The 21779-nt window shown below is 46.1% G+C and overlaps 5 annotated features.

Moving 5' to 3' along the window:
- Positions 108 to 1307: an enhancer, noted in NCBI's record as "CDK7 strongly-dependent group 2 enhancer chr10:48473688-48474887 (GRCh37/hg19 assembly coordinates)". NCBI's record gives its function as "activates an origin of replication core promoter dependent on BRD2, BRD4, P300/CBP, MED14 and CDK7 cofactors, with strong dependence on CDK7, by STARR-seq in HCT116 cells {active_cell/tissue: HCT116}" and the evidence as "EXISTENCE:reporter gene assay evidence [ECO:0000049][PMID:35650434]".
- Positions 225 to 724: an enhancer, noted in NCBI's record as "H3K4me1 hESC enhancer chr10:48474271-48474770 (GRCh37/hg19 assembly coordinates)". NCBI's record gives its function as "activates a minimal SCP1, AML or CMV promoter by ChIP-STARR-seq in primed H9 embryonic stem cells {active_cell/tissue: H9 hESC(primed)}" and the evidence as "EXISTENCE:reporter gene assay evidence [ECO:0000049][PMID:30033119]".
- Positions 13719 to 14420: an enhancer, noted in NCBI's record as "H3K27ac-H3K4me1 hESC enhancer chr10:48460575-48461276 (GRCh37/hg19 assembly coordinates)". NCBI's record gives its function as "activates a minimal SCP1, AML or CMV promoter by ChIP-STARR-seq in naive H9 embryonic stem cells {active_cell/tissue: H9 hESC(naive)}" and the evidence as "EXISTENCE:reporter gene assay evidence [ECO:0000049][PMID:30033119]".
- Positions 17669 to 18196: an enhancer, noted in NCBI's record as "H3K27ac-H3K4me1 hESC enhancer chr10:48456799-48457326 (GRCh37/hg19 assembly coordinates)". NCBI's record gives its function as "activates a minimal SCP1, AML or CMV promoter by ChIP-STARR-seq in naive and primed H9 embryonic stem cells {active_cell/tissue: H9 hESC(naive and primed)}" and the evidence as "EXISTENCE:reporter gene assay evidence [ECO:0000049][PMID:30033119]".
- Positions 18197 to 18726: an enhancer, noted in NCBI's record as "H3K27ac-H3K4me1 hESC enhancer chr10:48456269-48456798 (GRCh37/hg19 assembly coordinates)". NCBI's record gives its function as "activates a minimal SCP1, AML or CMV promoter by ChIP-STARR-seq in naive and primed H9 embryonic stem cells {active_cell/tissue: H9 hESC(naive and primed)}" and the evidence as "EXISTENCE:reporter gene assay evidence [ECO:0000049][PMID:30033119]".

The raw sequence follows: 21779 nt of genomic DNA on the forward strand, positions 1-21779 counted from the left end.
CTAAAAAGATTCGAAGTAAGTGAAAAGAACAAAGTGGTCCACAAATGCAACAGATTGTTTTGCTAGGCTGTGGTATGTGCCTCTAATGGTGGCCAAGTAGTTGTCACCCGTGCTCCAGCATGGAAGTCTTTGTTGAGGGTGGACCTCCAACCATGGGTATGGAAGTGCAGCCACAATTCTTGCATGACAACACTGGGACCTTCCCATGAAGCTCAGCTACACAGCCAAGTCTGTGAGGTTGCAAAGTTGGCTTGGAACCTTCCTTTCTCCTGAAAAATGTGTCCTCCTCTAGTAAAGTTCACTTTCCCAGTCCTTGACCAAGCCCTGGTGACCACAGGCTCCTGGCCTCACCATCAGGCATGGGGACTCCCAGACCAGCCCTCTCTCCAGTGCTCATATACAAAGGAAAATTAAAGCCAACAGTAGAATATGCAACAACTGAAGAGGAAGGACGAAGCCGGAGGCAGGTTGGAAGAAGAGTCTGACGCCCCCGGGGGGCCTCTGGGCTGGAGAGGAGGCATCCTTCCCAAAGCAGCATGTGCCTATCCCTGGTGGGGATGCTGTTGTTTTTGCCAGCTCTGCCTGGGCCCTGGACTAAGTAATCCCCCCAGGATGGGGTCTGTTTGGGCAGGGTAGGAGGTGTTTTCAGTGTTGTTCAGTTGCAGTTGCCTTTGGGGAATGGGAAAAAGTGAGTCAGACACCGTCCTTTGAACCTGGGAGCCCCTGCTGAACTTTGAAGAGACAGGAAGGAACCCTCATTAGTCACTCTGTTTCTGTGGGGCCACACTGGGGAACAAAGGCTGCTCACGTGTGTTGGCCTGACAGGCTTTCCACAGGCCGGGACCAGCATGCTCAGGGGCAATAGCTTCCAGTGGAATTGTTTAAGCCTAAGGAAGCACCCCCAGCCCAGAATGTTCTTCAGGGCCCCCACAGACCACTGCTGCCCACAGCCCTCACCAAGAGAGGAACATAGAGGGGAAGCGGGGAGGGGAGGAGGAGGCTAGTAATATAGCTCATAGTCAGACTCAGACCAATCTGCTGGTCTTGGACAAGGAGTTTTGTGAGCAGAGAACTCATGCTGCTCTCCTTGGGCACATGGAAATTGGAATCCTAAGGTTGGCCTCTCCCTTAGGAAACCAAGAACTTAAACGTGTATGTACTCCACTCTGGGAATGACCCTAAAGAATTGATCCTGGGTTTTCAAAAAATACACAAAAATGGTGACTTCAGTATTATTCATAACAGCCGAAGCTTACAATAGACCAGTTAACCAAAAATAGAGGATTGGCCAATTAATCTACTGTATGTCCTCAGCCACGATCTGTAGGAAAAATTTATAAGCACATGGGAATATGTTTATGCATCCAGTAAAAAATATAAAATCATGATATGAAAGAGTGCAATTCCATTCACAATAGCAAAGACATGAAATCAACCTAAATGCTCATCAACAGTGGACTAAATAGAGAAAATATGGTACACATGTACCATAAAACACTATGCAGCTGTAAAAAAGCGTAAGATCATGTCCTTTACAGCAACATGGATGCAGCTGGAGGCCATTATCCTAAGTGAATTAACACAGGAACAGAAAACAATATACCACATGTTCTCGCTTATAAGTAGAAGCTAAACATTGAATACATGTGGACACAAAGTTGGAAACAACAGACACGGAGGCCTACTTGAGGGTGGAGGTTGGGAGAAGGGTGAGGGTCAAAAAACTACTTATCAGGTACTATGCTCACTAGCTGGGTAATGAAATTATTTGTACAGCAAACTCCAGCAACACGTAATTTAACAAACCTGCACATATACCCCCTGAACCTGAAATAAAAGTTGAAAAAGAGAAAAAAAGCGTGTAATTGTATCATCACAGCTGTGTAAAAGGACAAAAACATCCACAGGAAAAGTCAAGAATGGAACAGCATCAAAATGGGCTTTAACTTTGTGTGATGGGAATGAGAATTATGTTTTCCTTTCTATTTGACATTTCCCAAACTGTCACTGATGAATGGATGTGTTTGATCACTATTTTTTTGCTTTACAAAATAACTTCAGGCTGAAACCAAGTCAACAGCCCTTCCATGAGTATGTACTTGGCTCATGGGAGGTCACAGAAGAAGCCTCTCCCTGCAAAGTATCCCATGTTGATGGGACTCAATGGAATTTAAAGACTCATAATCCACAGAAAGTTGCCTGGGGGTGGAGGTGCTGGCTCCATGATGCAGCTGTTGGTCCAAGCTTCATCTTGCCCTGTCCACAGGAGTCCTCACAAAGCCCCAGAGAAATCTGGCCATTCTCCAGGGGACCGAGCATCCCCCATGGTGCTGCATGGGAGGTAATGTCTATCCTCGGGGTGTCTCATGACGAAGCTCATGGATGGAGGACCCAGAGAGTTGACTGGCCATGTGTGTTCTCAGCCCCAGGTAGTCAGCATTGAAGGAGCATCACTGACCAGAAAAGGAGGCAGATGGTCACCTGATCAGGTCTCCCTCTGTCCTCTCACTCTCACCTCCATCTCTTCTCACATTGACCGTCACAGGATAAATGATTTCCTCACTCTTCCCAAGGGTCTGGCCCCATGACAGAGAGGCACAAGTGCCACATGTGTCCCATTTACTGATCACGGAGACACTGGCAATCCTGTGTCAGGATGATGAGATGACTTGCACCTGGCAGGACTTGGCAAACATCTCTGTGTTTCTCCATCATCACTACTATTTTTCTGTTATCACCACCAAAAGAGGATGTTTTTGACAATGGGTATGCTTCCAGACCCCACAGACTTGTGCCACAACAGTGTCATGGTCCCAGAAAGAATATCTGTCTGTTAAGGGATTAAAAGCCATCAGCAAAATAATTACCTGCAGAATCTTCCACTGGGTCAACCTGAAGATGGATATATAATAAGCTCAGTGTTCCAAACACATCTGAAGATTTGGAAAGTACACCAGATATCACTGGAGCTGTGCACATGAGAAGTGCACTTGCTGTGTATTTGCCCTTCTTACAAATGAAAAAACTAAGCTCAGAGAGGGAGGAAGTGGCTGGCCCAAATTCCTGGCAGAACCAGGACAAGATCTAAGATGCATCACACCATTGGAACCCTTGTGACATAAGGCTCACATCTCACATGCATGCAGCTAAGCAAAAAAATGACCCAGGGAACATGCATATTTGGAACCTCATGTATCACTTCTTCTGGATGGCAAGGTCTTTCTGGAATCTCTCAACTCTCAAGATTTCAAGGAACTCCTGTTCTCTGCCTAAAAGGTCTGTTATCAGTTGCCACCCAGTGGGCAACCCACCCCCACCCACCCCCACACCAAGACACACGAAGGAAAGGGCTCCTTGCTGCCTCCCTCCTGCCCCCATGGTACTCAGACCTATGGGCTCCTGCTTGTGCATGGAAAAAAGCCCAGCTTTGCCGGAAATCTCCTGATGGCCCCCAGAGTTCAGATAGTGAGTCTGGAATCTGCTTCCACCCCTGAGCAACAGGGCAGAGGAGTGGGAGAGACTTTGCTTAGGAAAAATTCTCACTGGACTCTGCCCTGCTTCAGACACTCATTTGGATTCCATTGCCATAATTGCCACGTATAACAAATTTCTCCATGATAGTGTTGAGACTGCCGGTTTATGCATTCCCTTAGGGAAAGAAAAATAGCATAGAGCGAACACCTACTATATGCCTTGTGGAACTGGGTAGAAGCAGTATGAACACCTCCATTTTACTACTGAGGAAACTGAGGCTCACGAAGGGTGAGCAACTTGCTCAAACTCACCTAGGCAGTATGCAGTGGAGCCGGGAATCCAAACTAGGTACGTTTACCTTCTCATCTTGTCCTGTCTCCTCCACACCTGGCTGTGGTCCTGAGTTCATTTCACCATAGTGCCATTAACCCTCACATTAAGGAGGAGAAAATGGAGGCCCAGTAAAATAGCATGGTGTTGTCTTCAAGCAAACATAGCAGATAAAAGTGGCATTGTGTCCACTTATTTCCCAAAATTCCAGTAAAATGGCTAAATGGAATTAAAATCCATAAATCTATGAAGGAGAAAAGAAAAATAGAGGTGGCAGCGGATAAGAGATGTCAAAATTTGGAGAAGTTAGAAAGGTGAAAGCTAAGCCTACAGCAAGGAAGACAGTAAGAAGCCTGCAATCTGGCTCAGTAACACCTTGTAAGGGCTCTGGAATTGGAGGTTCCAGGAACGATAAAGGTGAGAATGAGATGTGGAGCTAAAAACAGAGGTTTTGTGGAACTCTGAATAAGAAAAAATGCATTCTCCTATCCTCTCCATACCCAGCAGAACCAGGTGAGTTTCTTCCCAGAGCCCTCAGATCACTCGCGGTATCCGTCCTGGGGAACCTGGAGAGAAGACGCTCTGGATTCAGGGACGTGAGTTACTGCTAAGGACTTGTGTAAGTGCCTTACTCCAAAAGGGACGAAGCGAACTTCCAGATGAGCCTTCGCATCCTCCGCCCTTTCCCTCCTCCACTCCCTTAAGCCTGGCAGCTACATCTGCCCCTCCCCCAAGAGGAGATGGAAGCTCCAGAGCTGTCCAAGAGAAAATGAATTGACATTTGGGGTCCCTCAATGGATGACCAGGTCCCTCCTAATCACACTACTGGGAAGGCTCTCAATAGACCAGCCCCAGCCCTCACTCACACACATGCCTGGGACTCAGAGTGTCCAATCAGCTTTTTGTGCCTTGGTCTGAATTTTAGTTTTATATTTTGTTTTGTTTAGATTTCAAATAGACGTGTTTGAATTCATGAAACTTCTCAGCTCAGCACACACTCTCACCATTGGCCCATGCAACGTTCTCTGTTGTTTTAGTCTGTTTCCCCTTTATCCTCAAGCCACAATCCTGTCTCCCCATAAGCAGTCATTATGATGTACTTAATATAATTTCTTAAAATATATATTGTATTGTACATGTGCGAATTTCTAATTTACATATATGGTATTGAGATATTTCATTCTGTTTCTTACCTTCTTCGCTCAATGCTAGGTGCACTCTTTGTGGTGTACAGTTCTACGGACTTTGACAAAGGCATAGAGTCAAGTATCTATGACTCGAGTAGCATGCAGAACGTTCCATCCCCCTAAACACTCTCTATTGAGGCCCTCTTGTGGTCAAACCTTCTCCCCTCCCCCAGCTCCTGGCAACTATTGATCCTTCCCATTCTGTAATTTTGCTCTTTTTAGAATGTCACATCAGTGGCATCTTTTGGGTCTAACTTCTTTTACTTAGACACATGTATTTGAAATTTATCCTTATTGTTATTAAGTCAGTAGTTTATTCCTTTTTATTTCTGAGTTTTATTCCACTGCATGGCATACCACAGTTTGTTGATCCATTTACCTGCTGAAGGATATCTTCATTATTCCCAGCTTTTGTTGATTATGAGTAACACCACGACAAGCAATTGCAAGTTTTTGTGTGGAAGGAAGTTTTCAGTTCACTTGAGTAAATACCTAGGTGTGGGAATGCTGGGTCATCAGGCAAGTGGAGTTTTATAAGAAACTACCAAAGTGTTTTCCAAAGTGTCTATACCATTTTGCATTCCTATCAATTACTAATGAGAGTTCCTATTGCTCCACATCCTCACCAACATGTGATATTGTCAGTAATTTTTTTTTCAATTTTAGACATTCTGATAGAGGAAGACTGCTGTCTCATTGTGATTTTAATTTGCATTTCCTTAATGACTAATTCTGTTGAGCATTTTTTTAATATGCTAATTGCCATCTCTATAACTTTACTGGTAAATCATCTGATCAGATCTTTTGCCAGTTTTTAATTAGGTTGATATTTTTTATTGTTGACTTTTAAGAGTTTTTAATATTTTCTCAACACAAATTATGAGATACACAATTTACAAATATTGTCTCCCAATCTCTTATTTTCTGTCTCCTATTTTTCTTCTAGAAATTTTTTTCTAGAAAGTTTATACTTTAGGTTTTACTTGTAAGTCAATGATGCCTTTTAAGTTTATTTTTGTTACATACATGATGAGAATGAGGTGTGAATCAAAGTTTTTTTGTGCATATGGATATACAATTGCTCCATCACCCTTTGCTCAAAATACTATCCTTTCTTCACTGAATTGTCTTAGTATCATTTTCAAAATCAGTTGGCTATGTATGTGTGAGTCCATTTCTGGGCTCTTTACTTTGTTCCATAGTCTATTTGTCTGTCTTGACACAAATACTACACTGATTTGATTACTGCAGTTCCATAAGTTTTGAAATTGGTAAATGTTACTTTTCCAAACTTGTTCTTCTTTTTCAGGGTTTTGGTTATTCCAGGTCCTTTGAATTTCCATATGAATTTTAGAATTGTTTCTCAGTCTTACAGAAAAAATCCTTTTAGATTTTTATTAGCATAGCATTGAATCTGTAAATCAATTTGAGGAAAATTGACATCTTAATATTAAGTCTTCTGATCTGTGAATACAGTGTTTCTCACCATTTGTTTAGATCTTTAATTTCTCTCAACAATGACCTAGAATTGTCAGTATCCTAGTCTTTCTTTATCAGATGTATCCCTAGATGTTTCACATTTTATCCTATTATAAATGGGGCTGTTTTCCAATTTTAATTTCTGATTTTTTGATTTGGTAGATACACAATTTTTTACATTAAGCTTGTATTGTATAACTTTGTTACACTCATTTGTCAGTTCTAGTGGATTTTAAATTTATTTTTAGTTGACAAATATTATATATATTTATGATGTACAACATGTTGCTTTGAAATATGTATACATTGTGGAATGGCTAAATGAGCTAATTAACATCCATTACTTCACATACTTATCTTTTTGTGATGAGACACTTAAAATCTACTCTGCGCAATTTTCAAGAATCAATGCATTGTTATTTACTATAATCATCATGTTGTACAGTAAGATCTCTTGACCTTATTCCTCCTATCTAACCCTACTGACTTTTTAATAGATGCTCTTCTTTTTCAAAGTGTGTTAGTTATTCATACACTTTTATTCTTCCGTATAATTTTACAACCATTTTGTTGAGTTCATTAAACAAAACCTTCCAGAATTTTAATTGGAATCGCATTGGATTTATAGATTAAATTTCAGAGGACTAAAATGAATACAATGCTAATTCTTTCCATGTATGAATCAGTTCTTATCTTAGACATTTTAATGAGGCATTCGTGTTGTCACCAAGAAGGCTGTGATGGTTAACTTGATGTGTTAACTTGACTTGGCTAAGGGGTGTCCAGACAGCTGGTAAAGTATCATTGCTGAGTGTTTCTGTGAGGGTAATTTCAGAAAAGATCCACATTTGAATGGAGGAACTGAGTAAAGCAGATGGCCCTTCCCAGTGTGGGTGGGCATCGTCCAATCCCTCGAGGTCCTGATTAGAATAAACAGGCAGAGGAAGGGAGAGCCATTCTCTCTGCTTGAGTTGGGACATCCATATTCTCCTGCCTTCAGACGTCGGTGGTCCTGGTTCTCGGTTTTTGGGCTCAATCTGGGACTTACATCATGAGCACCCTGAACTTCAAGCCTGATTTACACCAGTGTCTTTCCTGGGTGTCCAGCTTGCAGATGGCAGATCATGGGACTTTTTGGCCTCTATAAATGTGTGAGCCAATTCTCATAATAAATCTATCTATTATGTATATCTATATATACCCTATTGGTTCAGTTCCTGTGGAGAACCCTGACTAATACAAAAGAATTTCTATTATTTGCTAGCATAATTCCTGGGTCCCTCATTGTGAGTGACATCTGATCTCCTACTATTTTTCTAGTTAGATATCATTTCTATAAGCTTTCTGGCTTTTGGGAAATATATCCAGCCACATTACTGAACTTTCTTGTGACTTCTTGTAGATTTTGTCTTGTTTGTTTTGTTTCATTCTTGGGTTCCTAGTGACTATCTCTTCAATTTGAATGAATGGCAAAGGATCCTCAGGCATTTGAGGAGAGTCTGCAGCATGAAAGACAGATGCCAAATAAAACAGAGGTGATGCAGGAAGCAAAAGAAGACCTCCAATAGACTTGCATTAAGATTCTCAGAGAGGCCAGAGGAAAAAAAATTGCATTAAAAAAGAACAAGAAGGTATAAGAATTAAACTCATAATAAAAAAGGATTATTAGAAATAAAAATACATAATAACTAAAATCTTTTAAACAACAAAGACATTTGGAAATAAAAGTTTAAAAAATTTGCCAGAAACTAGAACTGCAACAAAAAAAGATCGGCATTTTTTCATATATTTGCTGACCACATGTATGTCTTCTTTTGAGAAGTGTCTGTTCATATCGTTTGCCCATTTTTAAATGAGATTCTTGGTTTTTTGCTTATTGAATTGTTGAAGCTCCTTACAAATTCTGGATATTCAACCTTTGTTGGATGTGTTGTTTGTGAATATTTTCTCCCCTTCTATAGGTTGTCTGCTTACTCTGTTGATAGTTTATTTTTCTGTGCAGAAGCTGTTCAGTTTAATTAGGTCCCACTTGTCAATTTTTGTTTTTGTTGCAATTTCTATTTTTTTCCTTTTTCTTTATCATTCTTTTTTTTTTTTTTTAGATGCAGTTTCGCTCTTGTCACCCAGGCTGGAGTGCAGTGGTACCATCTCAGCTCATTGCAACCTTTGCCTCCATGGTTCAAGTGATTCTCCTGCCTCAGCTTCTCTAGTAGCTGGGATTACAGGCACCTGCCATCACGACCAGCTAATTTTTTGTACTTTTAGTAGAGATAGGGTTTTGCCATGTTGGGCAGACTGATCTCTAACTCCTGACCTCAGGTCATCTGCCAGCCTCGGCCTCCCAAAGTGCTGGGATTACAGGTGTGAGCCACCGTGCCCGGCCTTTTTGCAATTTCTTCTGGGGACTTAGTTATAAATTATTTGCCAAGGGCAATGTCCAGAATGGTATTTCCTAGATTTTCTTCTAGGATTCTTATAGTTTGGGATCTTACATTTACATCTTTAACCCATTTTGAGCTAATTTTTGTATACAGTGAAAGGCAGGGGTTCAGTTTTATTATTCTGCACATGGCTTAGGGAGTCCTTTCCCCATTGCTTGTTATTATCGACTTCGTTGAAGATCAGATGGTTGTAGGTGTGTAGCTTTATTTCTTGGCTCTCTATTCTATTCCATTGGTTTATGTGTCTGCTTTTGTAGTAATACCATGCTGTTTTGATTACTATAGCCTTGTGATATAGTTTGAAGTCGGATAGTTTGATGCCTCTGTCTTTGTTCTTTTTGCTTAGGATTGCTTTGGTTATTTGGTCTCTTTTTTGGTTCAATATGAATTTTAGAATAGTTTTTTTTTCTAATTCTTTGAAACAATATTGGTACTTTGATAGGAATAACAATGAATCTGTAGATTGCTTCAGGCAGTGTAGCCATTTTAACAATATCAATTCTTCTGATCCATGAGCATGGGATATTTTTCCATTTGTTTGTATCATCTATGATTTCTTCCAGCAGTGTTTTGTAGTATGCCTTATAGAGATCTTTCACCTCCTTGGTTAAATGTATTCCTAGGATGTGTGTGTGTGTGTGTGTGTGTGTGTGTGTGTGTCTATTGTAAATAGGATTGCATTCTTCATTTGGCTCTCAATTTGAACATTATCGGTGTATAGAAATACTACTGATGTTTGTACATTGGTTTTGCTTCCTGAGACTTTACCGAAGTGATTTATCAGACTAGGAGCCTTATGGCAGAGTCGTTAGGGTTTTCTAGGTATAGAATCACATCATCTGCAAAGAGAGATAATTTGATGTCTTATTTTCCTATTCGAATACCTTCTATTTCTTTCTCTTCCCTGATTGCTCTGGCTAGGACTCCCATTACTATGTTCAATAGGAGAAGTGAGAATGAGCATCCTTGTCCTGTTCTATTTTTTAAGTGCAAAGCTTCCAGCTTTTGCCCATTCAGTGTGATGTTGGCTGTGGGTCTGTCATAGGTGACTTTTAATGTTTTGAGAAAGGTAAATAAAAACCACAATGAGATACCATCTCACCCCAGTCAGAATAGCTATTACTAAAAAGTCAATAAATAACAGATACTGGATAGGTTGTAGAGAAAAGGGAATGCTTATACATTGTGGGTGGGGATTCAAATTAGTTCAGCTACTATGGAAATTAGTTTGGAGATTTCTCAAAGTACTTAAAACGGAACTACCATTTGACCCAGTAATCACATTACCAGGTGCATACCAAAAGGAAAATAAATTGTTCTACCAAAAAGCACATGTACTTGTATGTTCATCACAGCACTATTCACAACAGCAAAGACATGGAATCAATCTATACACTGTGGAATACTATGCAACCATTAAAAATAATTTCCTCTGCAGCAACATGGATGCAGCTGGTGACCAATACCTTAAGCAAATTAACACAGGAACAGGAAATCAAATACCATACGTTCTCATTTATAAATGGGAGCTAAACATTGAGTACACATGGACAAAAAGATTAAAACAATAGACTCTGGGAACTGCAAGAAGCTGGAGAGTAAAAGGGGAGGCAGGGTGGGAAAACTACCTATCAGATATGATGCTCACTACCTTGATAATGGGATCATTCATACCCCAAACCTCAGCAACACACAATTTACCCATGTAACAAATCTTCACATATACCCCTGGATGTAAAATAAATGTTGAACAACTAAATAAATATTTAAAGAGAGAGAGAGATTGGAAACGGGGGACAAGTGTAAGAAACCTAAGGGAATAATTAGAAAATTTCTTAGATTGGAAGGACATGTGTTTCTACACAGAAAGAGTCTACACAGTGGCCAGCACAATGTATAGCAGAAACATCCATGAGGGTGCATCAGCATGAAGATTGAGAACACAGGGAATCAAAAGAAGATCCTAAAACTTCCAGAGGGCAAAACTGGAGAAGAAAGGTTACACAGAAATAAATAGAAATAAAGGACATTGAACTTCTCAGTAGGCATTCTGGAAGCTAGGCTAGTTCCAGAGTGTAATGGTGATCCATGCCTTGAGGGAAAAGCCCAAGAAGAAATGTTTCAAACTGGGATGTTAAGGATGGTCAGAGAGGAGACAAGATTCCCAAAGCATAGCCAGGTGGGACAGCGACAGATGGAGTCCAGGCCTGCTTAAACGTTGCTAAGATGGAAATTACCTTTTGCAGGGGAAGATTTGACTTGGGAGAATAGCACTGGATAAGATAAATGTGGACAATGGATGCACCCCAGAAGACTGGAACTTACTAAACTCCACATCTTTATTTAAGTGGGATTTCCCAGGACAAAAATCTACAGAAAGATACTAGGAAAGGAAAAACAACAACAAAAGAATAGGAGGGAAGTTTTGCCGAACAGACCCAATAAACATCATTTACTTTCTTTCCCTCAGCTGTCACTGGATCTCTGCTTTAGATTTTGACAACAGTAACCTCAATGTGGCTTTCACTAAATACAAAAAGCTGAGAGCATTGCTTTGCCTGGATTAACTGCCCTAGTAGCTGAGGATTTGCCTCTGTTTTCTAAATTCAATGGGTCCCAGAATGGTGCTATAATTAAAAGTCCAGAGTTTGGTAGAGCCTTGGGATTAGGTTGTACTGTTCCCTTCTGATTCATTTTAGAGTCTTCCATGGGGAGAAGCTAAATTGCTCGCCAGGGATGCTAGGTGCATGAATAAAGGGGCAGTGGTTGATCCTGGGGAGCAGTGGCCTCATGGCAGCAGCTGGACAGTCCTCTGGCTGCTGACTCTTCCTCCAGGATGGCCTTGCCTCGGTTGACCACAGGCTAAACCATAAGGGGTTCAGAGATGAAATGAACACCCAAGAGCTCTCATCCTTGCAAATGCATTGGAAAGAGCAGCTGTAGCCCCGTGTCTCCTCAGTCTCCCCAGGGAGCAGGAGGGCTCCCTGAATGGTGAATCTGGGACAGGCAGTGAGGACAGCAACCAGCCTCTTCCTCTCTCTGGATGAGCTTTCCCTTGTGCCTTGTCACCTCCTCCTGCCCCACTGCCCTTCATGTGAGCAATCAGGATACAGGACCCTCATGAACAGTAGTGGCAAGTCCCCAAGCCTCAGCAGCTTCACTGTCTTTGCAGGCTCACTATGTAAGTCAGACAGCCTTCCTCAAATGGGAAGTCAGGGATCCAGTAGCGTCCACTTTGTTCTTCTGCCATCTTAGAGAGCTCACGAGGTGGGAAATGTGGAGGACCTCACCCCCTACACACTGCCTTGGACAGGAAGTGATACTTGACTTTTGCTCACATTCTCATTGGCAAGAGCTAGCCACGTGGCCTCCACCAACTGCAAGGAAGGCCGGGAAATACAGAAGAAGGGTACAGACACTTGGCAGGAGAGCGTCAACCATCCCTGCCACCCTCTGACTGCACAAGATAAGCTCTGCTGTCCTCGCCTTGGGTTCTCCAGCTTTCCATGGCTTCCACCCAGAGTCCTATGCCCTACCTGGGCCCCATCCAGGATGCCCCTCCCACATCTGCTCCTCCTCGCTGAGCCCGCCTCATTAGTTTTCCATATCCATCCTTCTCTACAACCCCATGATCCTGCTATAGGTCAGGTCCCTGACACTTCCTGCCTGGGACACTATGACAGCCTCCTTCCTCAACCCCTGCCTCGGCTCCTTGCTTCCCTGGTTCCCCTGCCTGAGTCCTCACCGAGTTCTCTCTAAACATAAGCCTGACTGTGTTCCTCTCAGACTTTGAACTCTCTTGTGACTCTCAACAACCCAAGGCTATAAGACTGAGTCCAAACTCCACGGAGTCTTCTCAAGCCCCACTCCTGCCTCTTTGGCATCCCTCCCCTGACAGTCCAGGAGTTATCCCTACCGAGCTTTCAGCAATTCCCAACACATTTATGCATTTCCTAATTCCAGGACTTGGAATCCTCTTCCCTGCTGCCTGCCTGGTGAACATCCTCTGCTTCCAGGAGGCAGGACTATCTCTCCCTCTGTGAGGGTGCCCATCGTGAAGCTGACCACATAATTAATAATCCAGATCAGGGCACTTCTGAGAATGACAAAGGTCACTAGGTATGAGTGGGGATGGTCCCAGGCACTCCCTGTCCATGAGTGCCCAGGCAGAGCTGATCTCTCTAGGCTGTGTGCAGCCGACTGTGTCCCCACCTCCCCTAATGATTACCTGACTCACATGACTGTGAGCCCTGCAAGTGCAACAGTGCCAATCAAAGAGAAATGCAGATTCCTCACCAAAGACGAGAGTACCAAGGCCTGGCCCTGCCACCTCCTGCCTCTCCCTGGCTCTGGTCTGCAGCCTGCACCATGAGCACCCCAAACTCACTGCTAAGTGGTCCCCTTGCCTGCCCTTTGATGGTTGGTGACTAAGCTTCCTCATGTCTCAGCAGGCCTTTCCTCCCCAGGTGAGCCCAACCACCAGCCACTGTCACATCCTCCCAGTTGGCCCTGCATCCTGTCTTTCCTAGAGCCACCCTGCCAGAAACGATCCTGTGACTACTTTGTCTACTTATAGGTTTATTGTCACCTTGCCCACTGGAATACAAATTGCACAGAGAGAGGGGTAGGGGGGTGGCCGGTCCTGCAGCTTGTCCTCTGAGTTTCCAGGACCTGGAGCTGGCCCTGGGGGGATTGGAGGGGCACTCCCAGAGCTCCCCCAGGCCAGGAGGCCTCCCTGCCCCACTTCCTCCACCCCCTGGGCCTGGCTCAGCCTGGCCCTTTCATGAACAAATGGAAATGAGTATCTCAGGAGGGGCAAGGCTTAGCCAGTATGGCCTGGACCCCTGTTCTGTGGCTGAGCTTCGGCGCCCGGTCCCCAGGGTGACCCCGCCGGTCTCTGCTCTCAGGCAGGCCCGGCCAGGAACACAGACGCCGCAGTCACATGCACGCCTTGTCAGACGCAGATCCTCCCGGCTGCACCATAAAACCCTAACTAGGCATATAAAAGCTGCCTGCCAGCCTGCCAGGTGCCTCTGTAGGCTCCAGAGAGGCGCTGACGGGCCCCCAAGGTGGCGAGGATCCAGGACACGATGGCACCACAGCTGCACGGGGACCTGGACACCTGGCTCCTGGAAATAAGAGGTGTCTCAGTGAGGCTGCGGGTGGTCCGCTTAAAAAACACCAGCCAGTTGCCCTCTCATTCTGAGGGGTAGGATACCTGGCATCATGGAGGGTGATTTAAAGAATGATGTTTAAACCTCAAGATGAACTGTCAAGGCACATGTTACACAGACACTATGCTTGTGGAGTCAAAGGTCATTCAAGGTCATGCAGCCACAGCCAGCTCCTCCTCCACCCCTTGCTGTCTAGTCAGGACAGCCACTTTCCCTGCCTGCTGCCTTCCATGGACCTCCTCCAGGTCTGGAGAGAACCTCCTTCAGGTCTGTCCAAAGCCAGGTACCTCCCCCATGAGGAAAAAGGGCTGTCGTTTCCTGAATCCAGCTCCAGCTAGGGTGGCAGCTTGAGGAGGGGGATGATGACCGGACTCCAAGCTTTGTCTCATGCACCACCTTGTTCAGTGCCCAGCCTCAGCAAGGACCGATCCCTATGCCTCTGCCCATGACAGTCCCTGGGCCTCTGAGCTGCCTGCAAGACCACTCTGCTCCAGCAGCCAGCAGAAACCACTGCCTCTTCCTTCTCTCCCAGGGTTCTGCTGCCATGGTCCTGCTGTCTGTGATTGTCTGAAGGCCTCCAAGTCCAGGGGTATCCTGAACTCCCACTTCACCCAGACACTTGCAGTTCCTGGGAAGCTCATGGCTGCTCCCCTCTCTTCTTCCATCTCTTTGAGCCCTGCCTGCAAAGCCTGTCCTTCTTTGCCTGTGCTGCTTCCTTCCCAGCTCAGTCACCACCTCCAGGAAGCCTTTTGGGCCTCTCCACTCAGGCCCAGCTAGGGTCCCCCAGTGAGAGCGCTGCCATCGCTGCCATTTCCCACCTGCCCCTCTGTCCTCACCTTGTGCCCTGACCTTACTCTCAGTCCCCAGAAGCTACCACCCCCCAACCAGCTTTGGACACCCCTGCTCTTATTTTCTGCATCCCCAGAACTACCTGCCCTAGTGCTGAGCTCATGGAAGTTCCTCAGGAAGCATCTTCACATGGATGTTGAAGAGAAAAAAATCTCCAGGTCCCACGGGGTGCTGTGGGAGTCCAAAATCAGGACTCCAAAAGGCCTGTGAGCCTGGCTTGGGGAGGCAGGGCCAGCACCTCCCTAGCTTCACCCAAGAGGCATTCCAGCACCTGCCCCAGCCTTCTGTAATCAGCAGTTGACACAAAGTTCATCATTCCCGCCAGGCATGACCTGACAGAGTGGCTACTCAAGATGGGGGAACAGCCTGGCTGCTCAGCAGGCCTTGTGGAGTCCTGGGGTTAGGCCAGGGTTCTGGGGCGCAGAGATGACAGCAGGGCCACCTGGGGGGAGGCTTCCTCTGCCACACCATGTAGAGGCCACCCGTCCACCCATTCCGTGGAGCCTCACAGCATCTCACACTTCCTAACACCCCAAACACCCCAAAGAGAAGCCCTTCCAGCCATCAGAAAGAATGCATAGAAGCTGATGGGTTCAGAGCAGGAGCATGGCTGAGGAGCCCAGGTTATTCTTAATTTTCATGCCCCAGATGAGTCATAAGCCAGCCATTCGAGCCCATGTGCCTCACAGGGTGGGCCAAAAGAAATCCCACCCAGACCAAACAGGTAGCTGTAACAACAAACAATAATAACAATTACATGCAGTAACATAAGCGATGCAGGAAGAAACTATAACTGAATATTTAATCTAGGAAGAGAGATGTCACAAGGCTTAGAATTATCAATGACATGAAGAAGAATTAGACTTGCTTTTGTAAAAGTGTAAAATTTGATACATAAAAAATAAGCTTAGTAATATCACTATTTTGGGGATAGCAGTTTTAAATATATACAAAAGCTCTGCAAATATTTGTATTCTTTGAGCAAATAATTTCACTTCTGCAAATCTGTTCTTTGGTAGTATTTAGCAAATTATTTGCCAAAGCCAAAATAATTATAAATATGGAAAAAAAAGGTATTTAGGCACAAAAATGTTCTTTTTGTTATTGTTTATAATATGGAAAAACTGGAATAAACAGCAAGGGAAGATTGGTTAACTGAACCATGGCAAAGCTAACCAATGAAATACACAGTCAATTGGCTGAACGTAGTGGCTCATGCCTGTAGTGCCAGCACTTTGGGAGGCTGAGACGGGCAGATCACTTGAGGCTAGGAGTTTGAGACCAGGTTGGCCAACATGGTGAAACTTTGTCTCTACTAAAAATTAAAAATAAAAAAAAAAGTTAGCGGGAGTGGTGGTGCACACCTCTGTAGTCCCAGCAAATTGGGAGGCTGAAGCACGAGCATTCCTTGAACCCAGGAGGTGGAGGTTTGCAGTGAACTGAGATTGCACCACTGCACTCCAGCCTGGGCAACAGAGCAAGACTCTGTCTCAAAAAAAAAAAAAAAAAAAAAAAAGAAAGAAATATACAGTCAGTTAAAATATGTGTTTTTTATTTGTTTGTTTTTTGGGTTTTTTTTTTTTTTTTTTTAAACGGAGTCTTGCTCTGTCGCCCAGGCTGGAGTGTAGTGGCATGATCTCGGCTCACTGCAAGCTCCACCTCCCAGGTTCACAAAATTCTCCTGCCTCAGCCTCCTGAGTAGCTGGGACCACAGGTGCCCGCCACCACGCCCGGCTAAGTTTTTGTACTTTTAGTGGAGATGGAGTTTCACCGTGTTAGCCAGGATGGTCTCAATCTCCTGACTTCGTGATCCACCCGCCTCAGCCTCCCAAAGTGCTGGGATTACAGCGTGAGCCACCGTGCCCTGCCTAAAATATGTTTTAATACAGATTTAGAAGGTACAAATCCAGTTTTGTTACATGGATAAATTGCATAGTCGGGGCTTTTACTATAACCATCACCCAAATAGTGTATACTATACCCTTTATGTAATTTCTCACCCCTCCCACTTTCCCACCCTTCCAAGTCTCTAATACCTATTATTCCACACTCTATGGCGTATGTTTTTGAAAGTTTGTTTGTGATATTAAACAAATGCTTATGTTCTAACACTTAGTGACAAAAAGAAAATCCACATCTGTTGACTACAAATGGATCAACTGTATGAAAAATAAGAGATTCACAGAGAAAGGATGGAAGAGACTTGAACCACCTGGTAATGGTAAGTTTGGGTGGTACAAAAATAGAGAATTCTTTCTATCTGTGCTTTGGAGATGTTCCATATATTGTTCAATGAGTTGTATGTACATTTATAATAAGAAAGCATTTTTTCAGTACCCTGCGAGTTGGTATTTCTGTCTGATGGCTCTGATGTGGGGGTGCAGGTGCTAATATAGCACCATGGGTGTGGCTTTCTTGGGGTCGCTGGTCACAGACGGCACCCCTGAAAGCAGGGACAGACACCAAAAGCTGTACTGTGCACCAAAATGGGCAGAAGGAAATAGCAAGCCCCACAGAGGAATGCATATTGAGAAGCACTCTGTTTGATGAATTTTACCTGAAGTAGAAATATGTAATAAACACTAGAGTGCTAGACTAGCTAACAACAAATGCTCACAAGGAAGAAAATCAGGGGAAATCTAATAGAATTCCAACTACTTCGTATAGGGCTGAAACCATCTCATGCAATATGTTCATTTGGTTAATTTGAACCTGAAGCAAGGGCATCACTGGGCAAAGTGGCATTAGAAGAATCTACCCCGAGTCTAGCTGGCTTTGGAGGGAATTGGCTTTAACTCTGTCAGGTTGGCCCTGACAGCAGGAACAGTGCAGAAGCTCAGGGGTTCCTGTCCTATGGAGCCAGTGGCAGCTGCAGTCTGACACGGGCACTGTGGACACAGGAGGAGAGGAGGTCTCCCCCACAAGTCCTTCACAGGAAGCAGAAGACCTAGGTGGCAGCCCCTCACTACCTCCCTCCTGGGGATCTCCCCAGCCCATCTTCCAAGCCCCTCCCAATGCAGCCCCCTTCCTGCTGACTGCCCTCCCAACAACTCCCATGTCCATGGAAGGCGCCGACCTGAAGCCTAGCCATCTAGTTTCCTTCGCAGTCTGTTTCACCCTGTGCTCACCATGTCCAGCCCACCATGCAGTTTACTCCTCCCTGAAAACAGCTAAATGTCAGAGAAGGGCATCAGTGCATATTATCATGAAGAGAGGGAGTCCCAGGAGGCAGCACCTGGCATCGCAGGAGGGTGGAGGGGTGTGGACAGAGCTTGGCCAGGCAGGGGGTTATCATATGCATGTGTACAGGGCCCAGTTGACACAGCAGGAGGTGGAAGGGAGCAGAGGGGTGGCTGGAGGCTGGCAGTCCCACAACCCTGAGTGAGCAGCAGCATGAGCTTGGAGGAGTCGTGAGTCAGCTTTGGTGGGCAGCAGGGCACTGCCACAAACCTCCCCGCACCCCCACCACCCCCAAGAGGACCTGGCTTCTCCTAGGATGGCCTGAGAGGGAAGGAACCAAGGCTGAGGCACACATAGGTGGAGGCCAGAGTGTGGGATTGATCTCTCAGTTCTTCACCCAGCAGGCCGAGGAGCTGTTCACATGATGGCCTTGAATCGTCTCCATGCTGGAAATGGAGGTGTGGGAGGACATCGTCCCTGTGCAGGCCACGGTGGGACTGGAAGAAACCAGCAATGCCAGCCCCAGTGGCACTTACTGTAGCTTTCCTTAGCCCAGGACTGAGGGTTTCCTGAAATGCTGGATGTTCATTGCTAAAACTGGGAGGATTCAGGGTAGATGAAGATGGTCACCCTAGCCCGGCGATGAGCCGAGAGCTGCATGTGCTTTCCGCAATCCTTTTGCTCTTCACAGCACCCCGAGGAACGTTCATCATTATCTGCATTTTTCAGCAGAGGAGAATGCCAAAGTCTTGTACCTGCAGCAAGAAGCCGGCCCCAGAGAGGCTGACCCCAGAGGTGAGCTGGGCACAGCAGCCCCAACAGCCAGGAAGGAGGCAGTCCTGAGGCAACGAGCAGGAACCCCAAGGTCTCCAAGGTGTGAGGGGATCAGCCACCAGCCTGAATCCACAGCTCTGCTTGCTGGGTCCACCTGCACTGAGCGGGTTGGGTCCACAGGAGGGGATCAGGGCTCTACCCACAGAGGCAGAAGCACAAAGATCACAGCACTGCTTTAGCTATGATGGTATCCAGCTGGATGTGAGTCTGCCAGTGCCTCCCAGAGTCTGACCTACTGGAGGTAGGAGGTGGGGTGTGGAAAAGGGCCATGGGGACAGGGGAAATGTCAGCAAGAAACCAAGTAAATCCCAGGAGGCCAATACTGTGAGTCCTCTGGACTGAAGAATATCTGTTGGGAGATACTCTATAGCCTGGAGCGCATTCACAGAGGTGGGAAGGAGTCAGGAAATGCACTGAACTTCTGTGTAAACAATAAATGATGGGACAGAGTAAGTGAAAACAATCTACTTTTTAAGAAATCATGCCATAGTAATTAGTAAGACTGGTTTCATAAAAGCTGAGCTCTGCTCAAGGGATATAAAATGTACTGGACATTCATCATTTTGCATGTCCCAAACAGCTCACCCTTCATCAAATAGCACATCCCTCCACCACCAAGAGCCACACACTTCCCTCCACAATTGATCCAGACTTGAGCACCTGCCTCATGCCAGGTCAATCAGTCCACCTCTGGCATCCCCAGGCTGGGCTGGCAGGGAGTCATGCCTTTCCTCCTTGGTCATAAACCATGGTGGAGAGGGCCCAGAGATGCTGGACTCATGACCTCCATACATTCACCCCCTCCACTATTCTGTCATAGGAGAGAATGATGCTGATGCCTGAGGCCAGAAGAAAATGTTTATGGCAGTAGTTGGCAAACTACAGCCCACAGGCCAAATCCAGGCCATCATCTTTTTTTTTTGGTTGGGTGGGGGGCAGGGGGGCGGACAGAGTCTTGGTCTGTCACCAAGGCTGGAGTACAGTGGTGCGATCTTGGCTCACTGCAACCTCTACCTCCCGGGTTCAAGCAACTGTCTGCCTCAGCCTACCGAGTAGCTGGGATTACAGGCGCCCGCCACCATGCCTGGCTAATTTTTTGTATTTTTAGTAGAGACGGGGTTTCACCATCTTGGCCAGGCTGGTCTTGAACTCCTAACCTCGTGATCCACCCACCTCGGCTTCCCAAAGTGGTGGGATTACAGGCGTGAGCCACCGCACCCAGCCCATCATTTTTGTATATAAAGTTTTATTGGCACACAGCCATGCCCATGCATTGACATTTTGTCTATGGTTGCATTCACAGGCAGAGTTAAAACCATATGGCCCACAGAGCCTGTAATATTGACTGTCCGGCCCCTAGAGCAAACATTCGCTGCCTGTGGGTCCGCATGGCTGTCAGAATGTTGATAGGCCTACCTTACACATCACTCTCACTTTACAGTAGCCAAGCAGTAATTACATTGTCCATTAACACCAAAGCTGTTTTCATTCTGAAGAGGGAGAAAGGGGAGAAGAAAAGAAGGAAGGGAGGGAGAGAGGGAAGAGGAGGAAGGGAGGGAGGAAGAAGGAGGAGGAGGGAGGAAGAAGGAGGAGGAGGGAGGAAGGAAGGAGGAGGAGGGAAGGGGGCGGGAGGGAGGAAGGAGGAGGAGGGAAGGGGGCGGGAGGGAGGAAGGAGGAGGAGGGAAGGGGGTGGGAGGGAGGAAGGAGGAGGAGGGAAGGGGGCGGGAGGGAGGAAGGGAAGGAAGGAAGGGAAGGGAGGGAAGGGGAGGGAGGGCAGGGAGGGAGGCTGACAATGTGGAAGTCCCTACTTTGAGTTTTCCAGAAGGCTAGCTCATCCCTTCCTCTAGGCAGTTTCGTTATCTCAGCCAATTAATCCTTCATTCTCGCTTGTTCAGTTTAGCTTTGGCTTCTATCGTCCATGATGTCTGAGTAAATCATGGAGGAGTAGCAAATCCTGCTAGAATCATAGGAAACTGACAACTGCTCAGAGCTGAGAGTTTCCGGCTGTGAACTTTTCTACCCTCCTGACTCATGATCGGGGCTCAGAAGGGAGGCCAGAGGAAAGAAGGCAGTGGAGGGGCTTCATGCCATCGAGGGCATCACCCCCATGTGTCATGGTCCCCTTCCTCCCCTCCCATGGTCCTGGAGCAAATTCCCTAACTCTCCAGACACCTTCCATGGGACAGACTCTCATCAGCCACTGTCCCCCCATGAGCCTGGGGCAGAAGACAGCCACCTGCAGGACAGCTCTGCACAGGGCTGTCTGGAGCAAGTCCCATTCCTAAGGGGAAGGAAAGGGCTGTGGAGGCAGGGGGGCTTCTGAGAGGGCTCCTGAGGGAGACAAACTTGATCCTGGGACTCTTGCAGGTGGAGAAAATCAAGGGTGGGTCTGGGGGATGACATGTCAGGCTGAGAGAACGGCTGAGGAGGCCTGTCCTTGGGAGGAAGGAGTATGTGGGCAGGAAATGAGAAGACACGCAGGGGCCTGGAAGAGAGGTGTGAAGGAGGGGCAGGGACCATGTGTTGGTGTCTGACACAGGCATCATGCCACGGAAAGGAGACAGGTGAGGTCCCACAAGCAGGAGGGTGGCAGGGGCACGTCTGTCATAAGGAAGATTGCCCTGTAGCCTTGAGGAAGGAGCCTGAAGGCAGTGGGCCTGGCATAGCGACCAGCAGCAAGAGAGCATCAAGACCTGGATGAGAAAGTGTCCGTGTGCAGAGCAGGCAGAGGGGGCTCCAAGAGATGAGCTTCACAGGACTGGCAGCCGGCTGGGGATGAGGGGAAAAGAGGGAGGAGCCAGCCATGAACCTTCAGCTCCATGGCACCATCA

Source organism: Homo sapiens, chromosome 10 (genome assembly GCF_000001405.40).
Source record: "Homo sapiens chromosome 10, GRCh38.p14 Primary Assembly".
Classification (NCBI taxonomy): Eukaryota; Metazoa; Chordata; class Mammalia; order Primates; family Hominidae; genus Homo; species Homo sapiens.